The 15414-nt window shown below is 45.3% G+C and overlaps 1 pseudogene; it reads right to left on the bottom strand.

The window, feature by feature from the left end:
* Positions 1-5194: 5194 nt before the first annotated feature.
* On the bottom strand, positions 5195-5279 carry LOC124906341 (uncharacterized; annotated as a pseudogene).
* Between the last annotated feature and the right edge of the window lie 10135 nt (positions 5280-15414).

The following is a 15414-nucleotide window of genomic DNA, read 5'->3' as shown; positions in this document are numbered from 1 at the left end:
AGAGGAGTATGATAGTAACCCTACCTCCAGGGCAGGGGTGTCCAATCTTTTGGCTTCTCTGGGCCACACTGGAAGAGGAAGAATTGCCTTCGGCCACACATAAAATACACTAAAACTAACGATAGCTGATGAGTTAAAAAAATAAATAAATAAATAAATAATAGCAAAAAAAAAATATCATATTGTTTTAACAAAGCGTACAAATTTGTGTTGGGCTGCATTGAAAGCCATCCTGGGCTGCGTGCGGCCTGCGGGCCACGGGTTGGACAAGCTTGTTCTAGGGCTATTGTGAGGAATAGATAAGCTCAATATAAATAAGTGGTTTAGAAGAGTGCCTGGTACTTGGCCGGGCGCTGTGGCTCACACCTGTAATCCCAGCACTTTGGGAGGCTGAGACGGGTGGATCACCTGAGGTCAGGAGTTCGAGACCAGCCTGACCAACACAGAGAAACCCTATCTCTACTAAAAATCTAAAATTAGCCAGGTGTGGTGGTGCATGCCTGTAATCCCAGCTACTCGGGAGGCTGAGGCAGAAGAATCACTTGAGCCCTGGAGGTTGAGGTTGCAGTGAGCCGAGATCGCGCCATTGCACTCCAGCCTGGGCAATGAGAACAAAACTTCGTCTCAAAAAAAAAAAAAAATACCTGGTACATTGTAAGCATGGCATGAGTGTTAGCTAGTATTATTACCAGCAACAGGGAGATGCTGGAATTTTATTAAAAAGATTAACTTGATAGGACTTAAGTTTTCTGTTTGTTTTTTGAGAAAGGGTCTTACCCTGTTCCCTAGGCTGGAATGCAGTGGTGCAATCTTGGTTCACTGCAGCCTTGACCCTTTGCGCTCAAGATCCTTCCACTTCAGCCTCCTGAGTAGCTGGAAACACAGGCCAGCACCACCATGCCCTGGCTACTTTTCTTTAAATTTTTTTTGTAGAGACAGGGTTTCCCTATGTTGCCCAGGCTGGTCTTGGACTCCTGGGCTCAAGCGATCCTCCCACCTTTGTCGTCCAAAGCATTAGGATTACAGGCGTGAGCCACTGCACCCAGCCCTGTATGATACTTTTTTAAAAATTTTTATTTTATTTTTATTTATTATTTATTTATTTATTTTTTCAGACAGGGTCTCGCTGTCTCCCAGGCTGGAGTGCAGTGGCGCGATGTCGGCTCACTGCAAGCTCCACCTCCCGGGTTCATGCCATTCTCTTGCCTCAGCCTCCTGAGTAGCTGGGACTACAGGCGCCTGCCACCATGCCCAGTTAATTTTTTGTATTTTTAGTAGAGACGGGGTTTCACCGTGTTAACCAGGATGGTCTCGATCTCCTGACCTCGTGATCCGCCCATCTCGGTCTCCCAAAGTGCTGGGATTATAGGCGTGAGCCACCGCACCTGGCCTTAGTTTTATTTTTTTTTAGAAATGGGGTCTTACTATGTTTCCCAGGCTGGTCTCCAACTCCTGTGCTCAAGCAATCCTCCTGCCTTGGCTTCTCAAAGTGCTGTATTACAAACATGAGTCATTGTGCCCAGCCCTGTACCGTGCTTTTTAAACTTCAGGTTGTGACTCTTTAATGGGTCATAAACCAATTTAGTGGATCAAAAGCAGCTAAAAGATCCCCAACAAGAGGCCAGGCACGGTGGCTCACGCCTGTAATGCCAGCACTTTGGGATGCCAAGGCGGGCGGATCACCTGAGGTCAGGAGTTCAAGACCAGCCTGACCAACATGGAGAAACCCTGTCTCTACCAAAAATACAAAATTAGCCACGTGTGGTGGTGCATGCCTGTAATCCCAGCTACTCAGGAGGCTGAGGCAGGAGAATCGCTTGAACCCAGGAGGCTGAGGTTGCAGTAGGCCGAGATCGCGCCGTTGCACTCCAGCCTGGGCAACAAGAGTGAAACTCTGTCTCAAAAAAAAAAGATCCCCCACACAAGAATAGAAAGTGGAACATAGGATTAGGATTTAGAAAGGGTAAGTAATGTGTATGACATTTCTGTTTCAAATATATATATATATATATATTTGAGGATAAATATATGTATATATATTTATCCATATGTATATTTTATACTCATACTCATCGCTCATCAGGTAAAATGTATACCTGCCTATGGTTCCTAGTTTCACGAGTTTAAGAAATGCTGCTTCATGGGACCTGTTCTAATTCTTGTTCTGCAAGCTAGTTGTGCCAACCTGGGCGAGTCCTTTCCAGGAGCTTTGAAGTTCTTATAGCTCTGTAAGACAATGACTCTAGATGTAGGAAATCCTCCCTGCTTTGGTGTGTGGCTAAATGTCTTGCTGCGACATACAGTGAGTTACAAGGCAAAACCTAACCACTCCTCAAGGGACAGCCCTAAGGAAGCATTTGCAAAGCATAAGTCATAGCACAACAGCTGAGGGAGGCCAATTCCAGATCCCAAAGCACCTTGTGTTTCCAAGTTAAGGAGTGGGAGGAAGTATGGGGAGGTGTGAATTGCTTATCTCCATAGTGCCACCCACCTCTGCTGTGTTCGAGAGTCACATCAACAAGCTGCCGACAGCTCAGTGGGCAATGCCCCTGCCTACCCAGGCTCCCCTTTTAGCTGCCAATTATGGAATCAGCTGAGGAGGAAAGTGAGGGCTGGTATGATCACCAAAAGATTGGAGGCCCACATGCCCACTGGTCATCTCTGCTGAACTTCTTTGCCAGATAGTTGCCTGGCAGGTCAGCTGTTCCACGGGTGGAGGGAAGGGTTGACTCTGACGAATTGCATGTACAGAGCAATTTAGCCAATGCAGTGGTGCTACACACCTGCTTTGTCAGTGGCAGCATGCCCTTGGCACTAGCCTACCAATTAGTTTTGCTCTAACAAATCTAATTATCTGAGAGCAGTTAAGAAAGCCAGGAGACAGAAGCATGAGGATCCGGAGCAGTGGGAGCTGGGACCAGGGGAGTCGGACAATTTCTGTTCTTTGGATTAACTGTGTTGTGGCCAGTCATGTAGAAATCACAGCACACTGAACAGCAGTGCACTTGGAGGCACAAAGGCTCAAGGGTGGGGGTGGATAACTCCTTGCACTTCTGGACTCTGCCATTTCTCTAACAGTTTATTCGTCACTCTGGCTATTTTTACTAACTTGAAACATCATTCTTCCTATTGCATTCCCAGAGCACACACATTTTTTTTTTTTTGAGACGGAGTCTCGCTCTGTTGCCCAGGCTGGAGTGCAGTGGCACAATCTCAGCTCACTGTAACCTCCACCTCCTGGGTTCAAGTGCTTCTCTTGCCTCAGCCTCCTGAGTAGCTGGGATTACAGGTGCCCGCCACCATGCCGACTAATTTTTGTATCTTTAGTAGAGACGGGTTTCACCATGTTGGCCAGGCTGGTCTCGAACTCGTGACCTCAAGTGATCCACCTGCCTCAGCCTCCCAAAGTGCTGGGATTATAGGCTTGAGCCACTGCACCTGGCCCACATCTCGTATTTTGATTTTTTTTTTTTTTTTGAGACAGAGTCTCACTCTGTCGCCCAGGCTGGAGTGCAGTGGCACCATCTCGGCTCACTGTAAGCTCTGCCTCCTGGGTCCATGCCATTCTCCTGCCTCAGCCTTCCGAGTAGCTGGGACTACAGGCACCCGCCACCATGCCCGGCTAATTTTTTGTATTTTTTTTTTTTTTTTTAGTAGAGATGGGGTTTCACTGTGTTAGCCATGACAGTCTCCATCTCCTGACCTTGTGATCCACCCACCTTGGCCTCCCAAAGTGCTGGGATTCCAGGCGTGAGCCACCGCACCCGGCCACATCTTGTATTTTGAATGTGTAGTTTTGGACTTGTAGCATTTTGGCAAGCATTTGTTTTGGTGCAAAGGGTTATTAGTAATGTCAACATTAGAACATTTTAAAAAGGAATACTTCTTCTGGTGAAATAAAACCTTTTTAAAAAACTTTTTTTGAAGTCATGATGGTAATAAAACTTGTACTATGACATAGAACAGTGTCTACAAAGGGACTAATAGGTAAAATTCATCCCTTCAACACACACATTTTTTAAACAATAATGACAGCAACAACAAGCTACCTTGTCATTATAAGAGATTAAGGAATGAGGCATCTACAAACCATATTTATGAGGTAGTTTGGGGTAGGGAGCTTATCTTTTCTAGTAAGGTGGGGTAGGGAGCTTATCTTTTCTAGTAAGGTGGGGTAGGGAGCTTATCTTTTCTTGTAAGGGTCATATTTGGCTCCATTCCTATTGTTTATAAAAATTAAAGAAATGCTTTAACTTCAGCAAAGAAGTGGCCAGCTTGGCTTTATTGATCAGTACCAGTTTGATCACATGATGGCGGAAGAGGAAGAAATAGACAAATTAATTTCTATTGCCTTATGTTTCCCTAGCACCTCCACCAAGAATCTAGAGGCAGTTCAAGGGAAAAGGCAGATAAAGGAAAAGCAGTGCATGTTCATGTTGAAGGTGGTAGGTGACTTTTGGCAGTTAAGGAGACTTGAGTGCCCCAGGCATCGGCAGCAGTGGGAAGGGGAATTACTATTCACTGCAGGCCCCTTTGTACTATGTGCAAACTCTTACAGTTTTAAAAAAATAAACAATAGCAACAAAATTAAAGCTCCCTAATATTTGGATTAAACCTCTTCATTTTTGTATTTGGTAATATCGACATTTAAAAAAAAAAGTTAAAATAAGGTATGTAATTTGGTGCCTCCTCAAAGGAAATATCAAAATGTCCTTGATAATATTGCATGCTTATGTGTAAGCACTTTCTTTTCTTTTTTATTTTTCCTTTTTTTTTTTTTTTTTTTTTGAGATGGAGTCTTGCTCTGTGGCCAGGCTGGAGCGCAGTGGCACGATCTCGGCTCACTGCCACCTCCACCTTCCAGGTTCAAGCGATTCCTCTGTCAGCCTCCCGAGTAGCTGGGACTACAGGTGCATGCCATCATGCCCAGCTAATTTTTATATTTTAGTAGAGACAGGGTTTCACCACGTTGTCGAGGATGGTCTTGATCTCCTGACCTCGTGATCTGCCCGTCTCAGCTTCCCAAAATGCTGGGATTATAGGCGTGAGCCACTGTGCCTGGCCTGTGTAAGCACTTTCAAAGCCATGAACTGAGCATGAAAGTGAGGATCCAGTGGAAGGGCATATTTGCCAGCTAACAGGTAACAGGAACAGAAGTTAAGTCTTAAAATTTCCTCTGGGTTTATTTATTTTTTAAAATTTTTTATTTATTTTAAAGAGAATTGCTAATCTTCTCTGTATCGTTCCAATTTTAGTATATGTGCTGCTGAAGTGAGCACATTTTCTCTTGGAACTGAAGAAAATGTTTGTCTTTCCTGACAAACTGGTATGAGCTCTTTCCTCAGTTAATTAGAACAACATCACAGTGCATTTTACTTTTTTCTTTGTCTAAAAAACAAAAAAGCCTAGGTTCTCATTATAACTTTTTACTCTCCTCCTAAGTTTTTCACTTTTTAACTTTCATTTTAACTTTGTTATTATTTAATTTTTTAAAATTCAGGAGACATGCACGATACAAGCGATTAAAAGAAATAGGTAAAGTTTGAAATTCTTCAGGGTCTACCTTTCTTGGAATAATAGGTCTGAAATTTTTTTTTCAATTGGAATTTTTTTTTCTGATTATAAAAACCGTCTACTTGTTTACCCCAAAAAAAGGAATAAAGCAAAAGAAACAGTCACTGCTAACACTGGATTCACTTCCTTCCCCCTCCACCTTTTTTTTTTTTTTGGTAGGACTACATGCTCTACATGGTATTCTACTGTATGGATATACTGTAATTCATTTAACCAATCTATTAGTAAAAATTTAGGATGTATCTTTTTTTTCTCTAGAAACAACATTGCAGCAAACAGCCATATCTGTGTGTGTGTGTGTGTGTGTGTGTGTGTGTGTGTGTGTGTCCTTATTATTTGTCCTGTCCTTTTCTGAGGATAAATTCAAAAGATATACATATTTAAAATTTGGATATATATTGCCAAACTAGAAAAGTTCTATGATCCTACCAATAGGGTGTATGAGAATCTCTATCCACAGAGTCTCACCAATACTTACATAATGTTTTCCTCTTATACATGTTTCCTGTTTCGTTTTTGAAGGTAACTTATCTTCTCATGAACCAGCGCTTTCAGAACTGTGCAGCACAGCAAGCCAGGCTTTTTTTTTTAGAACAGGCATTTCCTCATGGACTGTGTGTGTGAGAAGGAGGGCTGGAGGATTTGGATTTGCTCACCTCTCAGCAATAAGGAAACCTCATATCTGGCAGACATGCTAGTTGTGTATTAAATATTGAATATGAATTGAGCCTAACTATTTGCCAGGCCCTATGCCACATGATAGGGATATGAGGGTGAAAAAAAGCAGTCAGTCTCTGCTCTCAGGGAGTATACATTCTCATGCAGTATTTTCTAAGGCATCATCTTCTATCTCGACCATGTGATAGGGGAAGAAGACGTGCACGTCCTCACCGGTAGAATAAAGGCACTAAACCAAGATAATGCTTTTGGGTTCCTTCTAGCTCAGGTGACCTATAGTATTTAGGAACTTAAGAGTACAGAAACAAATTTAACAATACTTATAGAATGTTTGCAGTGCAAGAAACTATTCTAGGCATTGAGGGTACACTGAAAACTAAGACACTGTCCCTACTTTTAAAGAATTCACGGGCCGGGCCCGGTGGCTCACGCCTGTAATCCCAGCACTGTGGGAGGCTGAGGCGGGTGGATCATGAGGTCAGGATATCGAGACCATCCTGGCTAACACGGGGAAACCCCGTCTCTGCTAAAAATATAAAAAAATTAGCCAGGCGTGGTGGCGGGCGCCTGTAATCCCAGCTACTCAGGAGGCTGAGGCAGGAGAATGGTGTGAACCTGGGAGGTGGAGCTTGCAGTGAGCCAAGATCGCACCACTGCACTCCAGCCTGGGCAACAGAACGAGACTCCATCTCAAAAAAGAAAAAAAAAAGAATTCATGATGGCCGGGCACAGTGGCTCATGTCTGTAATCCCAGCACTTTGGGAGGCCAAGGTGGGAGGACTGCTTGCATCCAGGAGTTGGAGACAGAGTGTGCAACGTAGTGAGACCCTGTCTCTACAGAAAATCAAAAATTAGCCAGGCATGGTGGTGCATGCCTATAGACCCAGACCCAGCTACTCAGGAGGCTGATGCAGGAGGATTGCTTCAGCCCAGAGTTCAAGGCTGCAGTGAGCAGTGAGCTATGATAGCCATTGTATTCCATCCTGGGCAACAAAGCAAGACTCTGTCTTAAAAACCAACCAACAGGCTGGGTGCAGTGGCTCACACCTGTAATCCCAGCACTTTGGGAGGCCGAGGCAGGTGGATCACGAGGTGAAGAGATTGAGACCATCCTGGCTAACATGGCAAAACCCTGTCTCTACTAAAAATACAAAAATTAGCTGGGGGTGGTGGTGTGTGCCTGTAATCCCAACTACTCGGGAGGCTGAGGCAGGAAAATTGCTTGAACCCAGGAGACGGAGGTTGCAGTGAGTTCAGATCGTGCCACTGCACTCAAGCCTGGGCAACAGAGCGAGACTCCAACTCAAAAAAAACAAACAAACAGGCCGGGCGCAGTGGCTCATGCCTGTAATCCCAGCACTTTGAGAGGCCAAGGTGGGCAGATCATGAGGTCAGGAGATCGAGACCATCCTGGCTAACATGGTGAAACCCCGTCTCTACTAAAAATACAAAAAATAAGCCGGGCGTGGTGGCGGCCGCCTGTAGTCCCAGGTACTCAGGAGGCTGAGGCAGGAGAATTGCATGAACCTGGGAGGTGGAGCTTGCAGTAAGCCAAGATCGCGCCACTGCACTCCAGCCTGGGTGACAGAGCAAAACTCCATCTCGAAAAAAAAAAAAAGAAAGAAAAAGAAAAAGAAAATAGGGTAGAGGCCGGGTGCAGTGGCTCATGCCTGTAATCCCAGCACTTTGGGAGGACGAGGAGGGTGGATCACCTGAGGTCAGAAGTTCGAGACCAGCCTGGCCAACATGGTGAAACCCTCTCTCTACCAAAAATACACAAAAAAATTAGCTGGGCGTGGTAGTGGGCACCTGTAATCCCAGCTACTCAGGAGGCTGAGACAGGAGAATCGCTTACACCCAGAAGGCAGAGGCTGCAGTGAGCCAAGATCACACCACTGCACTCCAGCTTGGGTGATGGAGCGAGACTCTGTCTCAAACAAAAAAAGAGAGAAGAGAAAATCAGAGTAGATCAGGGTAATGAACATTGGCATCCTTTTTTGGTCACTGTTAGGGACTGAACTGTGCCAAAATTCATAGGTTGAAGTTCTAACCCCAATGTGACTGTACAGTATTTGGAGATAGGCCTTTGAAGAGGGAATTCAGGTTCCAATGAGGTCAGTGGGTGATGCGCTAATCCAACATGACTAGTGTCCTTATAAGAAGAGGAGCAGATACACCAAGGATGCACACAGGGAAGGGCCACAGGAGGACACAGTGAGAAGGCAGCTATCTGCAAACCCAGGGAAAAGGTCTCAGCAGACACCAAAACCGCCAACACCTTTCAGCTCCTGAACCTTGAGAAAATACATTTCTGCTGTTTAAGCCACCTAGTTTGTGGTATTTTGTTATGTCAGCTCTAGTAAACTAATACAATCGTCCTGCTTTTGAACACCCTGAATACCTGGGGAATCCTCCACTTAGACAGCAGAGTCAGCCTGCCACTTTCAAAACAGGAAGCTACATCGTCTCTCCCAGCCCTCACACACAGGTAGGATTGTGACCTAGGGTTGGTCAATGAAAAGCACCCTCCCCAGACTTGGTCTCAAGCCACAACAGAAGGAGCAGCCGCTGCACAGAATCCAACAGAAGCGGCGACAATGGAAGAGGCATGTTGATGCCCAAGGCTCGGTGGCATGGCTCAGGGTGGCAGTGTCCTGGGTTAATGATGGTGCAGGCTGTAATGTCTGGAGTGGGTGGCAGAGGCATAGCATCTTCACTGGACTAGTTCTAGTTGGTGGGTTTAGGCCTTGTCACTGTCTTCATGGACCCCAAACCTCGATCTCTACCCTCCTGGTGATCTTGGGAATTACCTAATAGACTTTTTATAATTTCTTAAAAATCAAATTTTGCTGGGCACGGTGGTTCACGCCTGTAATCCCAGCACTTTGGGAGGCCGAGGTGGGCTGATCACGAGGTCAGGAAATCGAGACTATCCTGGCCAACATGGTGAAGCCCTGTCTCTACTAAAAATACAAAAATTAGCTGGGCATGGTAGTGCATGCCTGTAATCCCAGATACTTGCGAGGCTGAAGCAGGAGAATTGCTTGAACTAGGGAGTCGGAGGTTGCAGTGAGCCGAGATTGTGCCACTGGACTCCAGCTTGGCAAGAGTAAGACTGTCTCAAAAAAAAAAAAAAAAAAATCAAATTTTGCCAGGCATCATGGCTCACACCTGTAATCCCAGCACTTTGGGAAGATGAGGTGGAAGGATCACTTGAGCCCAGGAGTTCCAGACCAGCCTGGGCAACACTGGGAGACCTTGTCTCTAAAAAATATAAATAAATAAATAAATAATCAGATTTACTGAGGTATGGTTTACAAATTAAAATGTACCTATTTTAAATGTGTAAGTTGATAGGTTTTGATGAATGTCTATGCCTGTATAATTATCACTATGATCAAGATAATAGAACAATCCCATCACCCCAAAAAGTTCCCTCGTACCCCACTGTAGTCAGTCCTTCTCTGCCCCGTCTAGACAATCATTGATATGTTTACCGTCACTATAGATGAGTTTTGTGTTTTCCAGTATTTTATAGAAATGGAATCATGCAGTATATATACTCTCGTGTCTGGCTTCTTTCATTCGGTGTCACGTTTTTAGAATTTGCCCAGGTTACCTTTTTAATTGCTGAGTATTGTTCTGCAATTTGTTTATCCTTTTACCTGTTGATGGACATGTGGATTGTTTCCAGCTTGGGGCTATTATGAATAAAGCTTCTATGGACACCTAACAGCATTTTAAGGAATGCTTTTCTTGCTTAAGCTAGCCAGAGTTGGTTTCTGGTGCTTGTGAAAGGCCATGGCTGAAATGGTTCGTATGATTGGCGTTTTGGAGGTGGTGGTGACAGAATTGAAGATGGGGCTGGTGAGAAAGGCCAGTGACCGCTCTTGTGTGCTGGAGACAATGGGAAGACACTACAGACACTACAGCATTTTGAGTCTGGAAATGAGTAACCAGAATGACTTTTAATATAGTTTTTTTTTTCTTTTTCTCTTTTGAGACAGAGTCTTGCTCTGACACCCAGGCTGGAGTGCAGTGGTGTGATCTCAGCTCACTGCAACTTCCGCCTCCTGTGTTCAAGTGAGTCTTCTGCCTCAGCTGCCTGGGTAGCTAGGATAACAGGCACCCACCATCACGTCTGGCTAATTTTTGTATTTTTAGTAGAGATGGGATTTCACCACATTGGCCAGGCTGGTCTCAAATTCCTGACCTCAAGTGATCCACCCGCCTCAGCCTCCCAAAGTGCTGGGATTACTGGTGTGAGCCACCATGCCCGGCCCTAAGTAGTTTTTAGTAGCAGAGAGAGGCTTAGTTGGAGAGAGTGAGACTGTGGCAGGGAGACCAACTGGATGCCATTTGGAGTAATCCAGGCAAGGAAGAATAAAGGCCTGAATCAAGGCAATGTCCCTGGGGTTTGGAAAGAGGGCACAAATGGAAGAGCTGTCACATGAAAAGAGTTCACAGGATTTGAGGGTCAATTAAATGTCATGGTTATGAGACAGGAAGACTTTCAGAAGAGCTCCCAGAGGGTAGGCTGCAGCCAAATCAAGACATTAGGAAGCAAATTCTTAGAAACCTGGGTGTTTTGAGTTTTTGGGGTTGTAGTTAGGTGGAGTACATTTTTTCCTTACTATGTAATAAAAGCGGGAAGGGGGGCAGGGGTAAAAGGAAGCAGAAGCAACAGAGTTCACTCACACACAGATCCAACAATAAGGAACCCAACTAAATTGTGGTCTGGGTCCCCTTAGCCTAAACCTACCTTCTTACCTCAACCTCTTGGCTTGTTAGATATAAAAATGGTCACATTTTGAATGTTGAAAACTTCTTTCAATTTTAATTCCACCTATATTTAGTGTGCACCTACTATGTTGCTGGTCTCTGTGCTAGGTCCTAGAGTTACAAAATGAACGTTAGCACCTGAGTTTCACTTGTGAAGGCTGGGCTTCAGAGTCATCTGTGAGACTCATGTCCAGGCCCCACCCCTGGAAAACTGGATTCAGTAGGTAGGACCCACTCATATATATTAAATCAAACAAACAATAACCACAGAAAATGATATAGACAGTTCTGTTCTACGGTTGTAAACCACTGATGAATCAGCCCCTGTTATCTATATCTTATCCTAACAGCCACCCTAACAGATAGGTATCATCTGTTAGGTAAATGTACGCATGTGCACAAGTAATTACAGAAGCAGAATCACACTGGGAGAAGAAAACATCTATTCATTCAATATTTATTAGGCACCTAGTGCTATGGTTTGGCTGTGTCCCCTAAATCTCATGTGTTAGAAATTTAATCCCAGTCTGGCAGTATTGAAAGGGCATTTCAGAGGTGGTTGGAGAGTGAGAGCTCTGCCCTCATGAATGGATTCATGGGCTAATGGACTAATGCGTTAATGGATTAATGGGTCATCAAGAGAGTGGAACTGGTGGTTTCATAAGAAGGGGAAGAAAAGAGGCTGAGCCCGGTGGCTCATGCCTGTAATCCCAACACTTTGGGAGGTCACGGTGGGAGATTGTTTGAGTGCAGTAGTTAAAAACCAGCCTGGGCAACGCAAGATCATGTCTCTACAAAACATTTAGAAGCCAGGCGTGGCGGCTTAACGCCTGTAATCCCAGCACTTTGGGAGGCCAAGATGGGCAGATCACTTGAGGTCAGGATTTGAGACCAGCCTGGTCAACAGTGTGAAACCTCATCTCCACTAAAAGTACAAAATTAGGCTGGCATGGTGGCGCATGCCTGTAGTCCCAGCTACTTGGGAGGCTGAGGCAGGAGAATCGCTTGAACCCAGCAGGAAGAAGTTGCAGTGAGCTGAGATTGCACCACTGCCCTCCAGCCTGGGCAACAGAGTGAGACTCCATCTCAAAAACATAAATAAAAAAAATAAATTTGCTGAGTGTGGTAGTGCATAACTATAGTCCCAGCTACTCTGGAAGCCTAGATGGAAGAATTGCTTGAGACCTGGAGGATGAGGCTGCAGTGAGCTGTGATCACGCCGCTGCACTCCAGCCTGGGTGACAGAGTGAGACCCTGTCTCAAAAATGATTAATAGTAAATAAACTTTGAAAATTAAAAAAAAAGAGGAGAGAAACCTGAGCAAGCATTAGCACGCTCAGCCTCTCACCACGTGATCCCTTGCCCTACCTTGGGGACGCCACGGAGTCCCCACCAGCAAGAAGGTTCTCACAAGGTGCAGCCTGCCCCCCGAGAAGACCTTGGACTTCTCAGTCTCCATAACTGTAAGAAATAAATCTTTTCCTTTACAAATTACCTAGATTCAGGGATTTTGTTATAAGCAACATAAAGCTGACTAAGACACCTAAGAGTATCAGGTGCTGGGCTAGGTTCTAGAGCTACAAAGATGAAATGAACATAACATCACCACCCAGAAGGTCTAGCAAGTATACAGACATAAAAATCTCAAATTGTAATACTGAACTGAACCCTGTTCCAACACTATGTACAACAGGTGACAGAACAACCGGAATCCCAAAGTCACATCACTGTGATGGGAAAGTACCTGAGGAGATTCCATTTAAGCCAAATTTTAAATAATAAAGGGGAGTTCACCAGGTCCACAAAAGGGAGAAGGCCCATTCAGGCTGAAGAAACATTGTGTACCCAGGTGGGCGTGAGAGAGAGGCACGCTGAAACAAGCGAGAGCATTCAACTCCTTCATGGATGGATGAACCTATTTGCAGTAGAGAGACTGGCAGCAAAGAAGGCAGGAAAGGTTGGCAGGTGCTGGATATTGAAGGGACCTTATTTGTGAAATTAGAAATTCAGTGTTTATCCTACAGACCTGTGGTTTTCCAACTATACTCAGTGGAGCTGTGAGTGCTCCTTGGAGTCCACACAGGGGCCATCCGGGGGTGGGCAGTGGGGCCAGGCGGGCAAGGCTCTGGGTCTCCCATTCCTGTTTCAACCTCACCAACTCTGCTTTTGCCTACTTAATGGTGGGCATCAGTGAAATACTTTTTCTTTTAAATAAAGGGTTTCATAGTTAGGGAAAGCTGAAAAATGATAGCTTAGGCAATGACCAACCCTTGAAGAATCTTAAGCAGGAAAGTGGCATGAGTTTCCCAGGTGGAAAGACTTGGAAACAGTGGCAAATGCTGAGGAGACGTCAGGAAAACAAGTACTGAAAGTGTGCTTTGGGTTTGGCCGTTGGAAAGTGACCTTCCTGAAACAGTTGGTAGGGAGCAGGGGTGTTGGAGAGAGTGGAGAACAGAATGCAGAGGATATTGGAATGAATGGGAGGAGAAACTGTGGAGTAGGGAGTGGAGACTGTGCTGTTAAAGAGTCTTAGATATAAAGCAACGGAAGGAGATTTGGCAATAGTCAGAGGGGAATTTTTCCAACTCACATGTCCCCCTTCTTGGCTAAGAGATTTCCCAACTACAAGGTCACAGGGGCAGACTCTCAGGAGCCATGTTTGTACACAGCTGCCTCCTTGACTGTAGTTGATTGGCCTCTGTGCGGGGTACAGCATCCAAGGTGGGCCAATACTTCCTCCAAGAAATTTAGATTTGGGGCCTAGAGAGAAAGCCCATCCTCTCCGGTTGGTTGGGTAGTGTTGGGAGCTGCTGCCTGGAGAGTCAGATGAAGTAAGCTGCAGATGTGGAAATGGGCAGACAGGAAGGAGCTGCCGGCTTTACAGGCCCTCGTTCTAAATCCTTCTCAAGTTTCAAGGAAAGCCAGCCATCTGGTTCTGGGTGAAACTAACCCATCATGAACCCTTTGTTTTCATTAACTCACATAGTTTCTCTTACAACAAAAATAATCCTTTCTGATACAGACGGTGTATGATTTTCTTCTCTTTCTTCCAAAGACAGAAGAATGGTCAGTTGAGAGTTTGAAGGTACAGAGAAGGAGGGGATAATTGATAGAGCCATTCTCCAAAGAGAACAGAAGGGGTGGATTCCCTAGAGCACAGATCAGGAGTGGCAGAAAGAGATGCCACCTTCCTCTGAGATAGGTGGGTAAGAAGTAAGAAAAGTGCGAACATAGATGAGTATGTGGGCTGGGGGTAGAAGAGTGTTCCTAATGACTCTTATTTTCTTTTTGAGGACCCAATGTTGTTTGCAAATCATGAGTGGGGTGGGGCACATTTGCTGGGAGGCTTGAGGAGAGCAGCAAGGTTTGAGAACAGCCATTGTGCCAGTGGGCCAGGGAACTGGTCACAGATAAATAATACAAAGACAGTTGAGATGAGGCGCGGTGGCTCACGCCTGTCATCCCAGCACTTTGGGAGGCCGAGGCAGGTGGATCACCTGAGGTCAGGCGTTTGAGACCAGCCTGGCCAACGTGGTGAAACCCCGTCTCTACTAAAAATAGAAAAATTAGCTGGGTGTGGTGGTGGGCACCTGTAATCCTAGCTACTCGGGAGGTTGAGGCATGAGAATCACTTGAACCTGGGAGGTGGAGGTTACAGTGAGCCAAGATTGCGCCACTGGACTCCAGCCTGGGCGACAAGAGCAAAACTCCATCTCAAAAAAAAAAAAAAAAGACAGTTGCAAATCCTAAGTATGTGGTGGTGAACACAGTGATGGAGACTCAGTGATAGAGTCTCATGTGCTGGTGAATGCAATGATAGAGTCTCCCTAAAAGCCTTCACCCATTTGCCTACTTATTCCCCCTTAAAATACAAATCAGGCCACGTACAGCAGCTCATACTTGTAATTACTTCGGGAGTCTGAGGCAGGGAGGATCACTTGAGCTCCGGAGTTCCAGATCAGCCCCAGGCAACACAGTGAGACCCACCTCTACAAAACGTACAAATATTAGCCAGGCGTGTGGCGTGCACCTGTACTTCCAACTACTCGGGAGGTTGAGGATGGAGGATCACTTGAGTCTGGGAGGTCGAGGCAGCAGTGACTTATGATCACACCAGTGCACTCCAGCACAAATCAGATGATACCATTCCTCTGTTTAGATTTTTCCAATGGCTTCCTGCTGCTTTACAATAGAAATTATTTCTAATCTTGCTCAGCAACTAGGAGAGGAGAAAGCAGAAGGAAAATGCTTGGATCAATCCCGAGCTGTGGGTATGAAACTGCCCTGAGGTGGAGGGAGAGACAGGGTGGTATACCAACAGCCTGGGAGAAAAAAGGAATACTGGCATGGGGGTGGGAGTGGGAACGTGAGTATGAAGTG

Source organism: Homo sapiens, chromosome 3 (assembly GCF_000001405.40).
Source record: "Homo sapiens chromosome 3, GRCh38.p14 Primary Assembly".
Classification (NCBI taxonomy): domain Eukaryota; kingdom Metazoa; phylum Chordata; class Mammalia; order Primates; family Hominidae; genus Homo; species Homo sapiens.
This window is presented reverse-complemented; position numbering and strand designations above follow the sequence as displayed.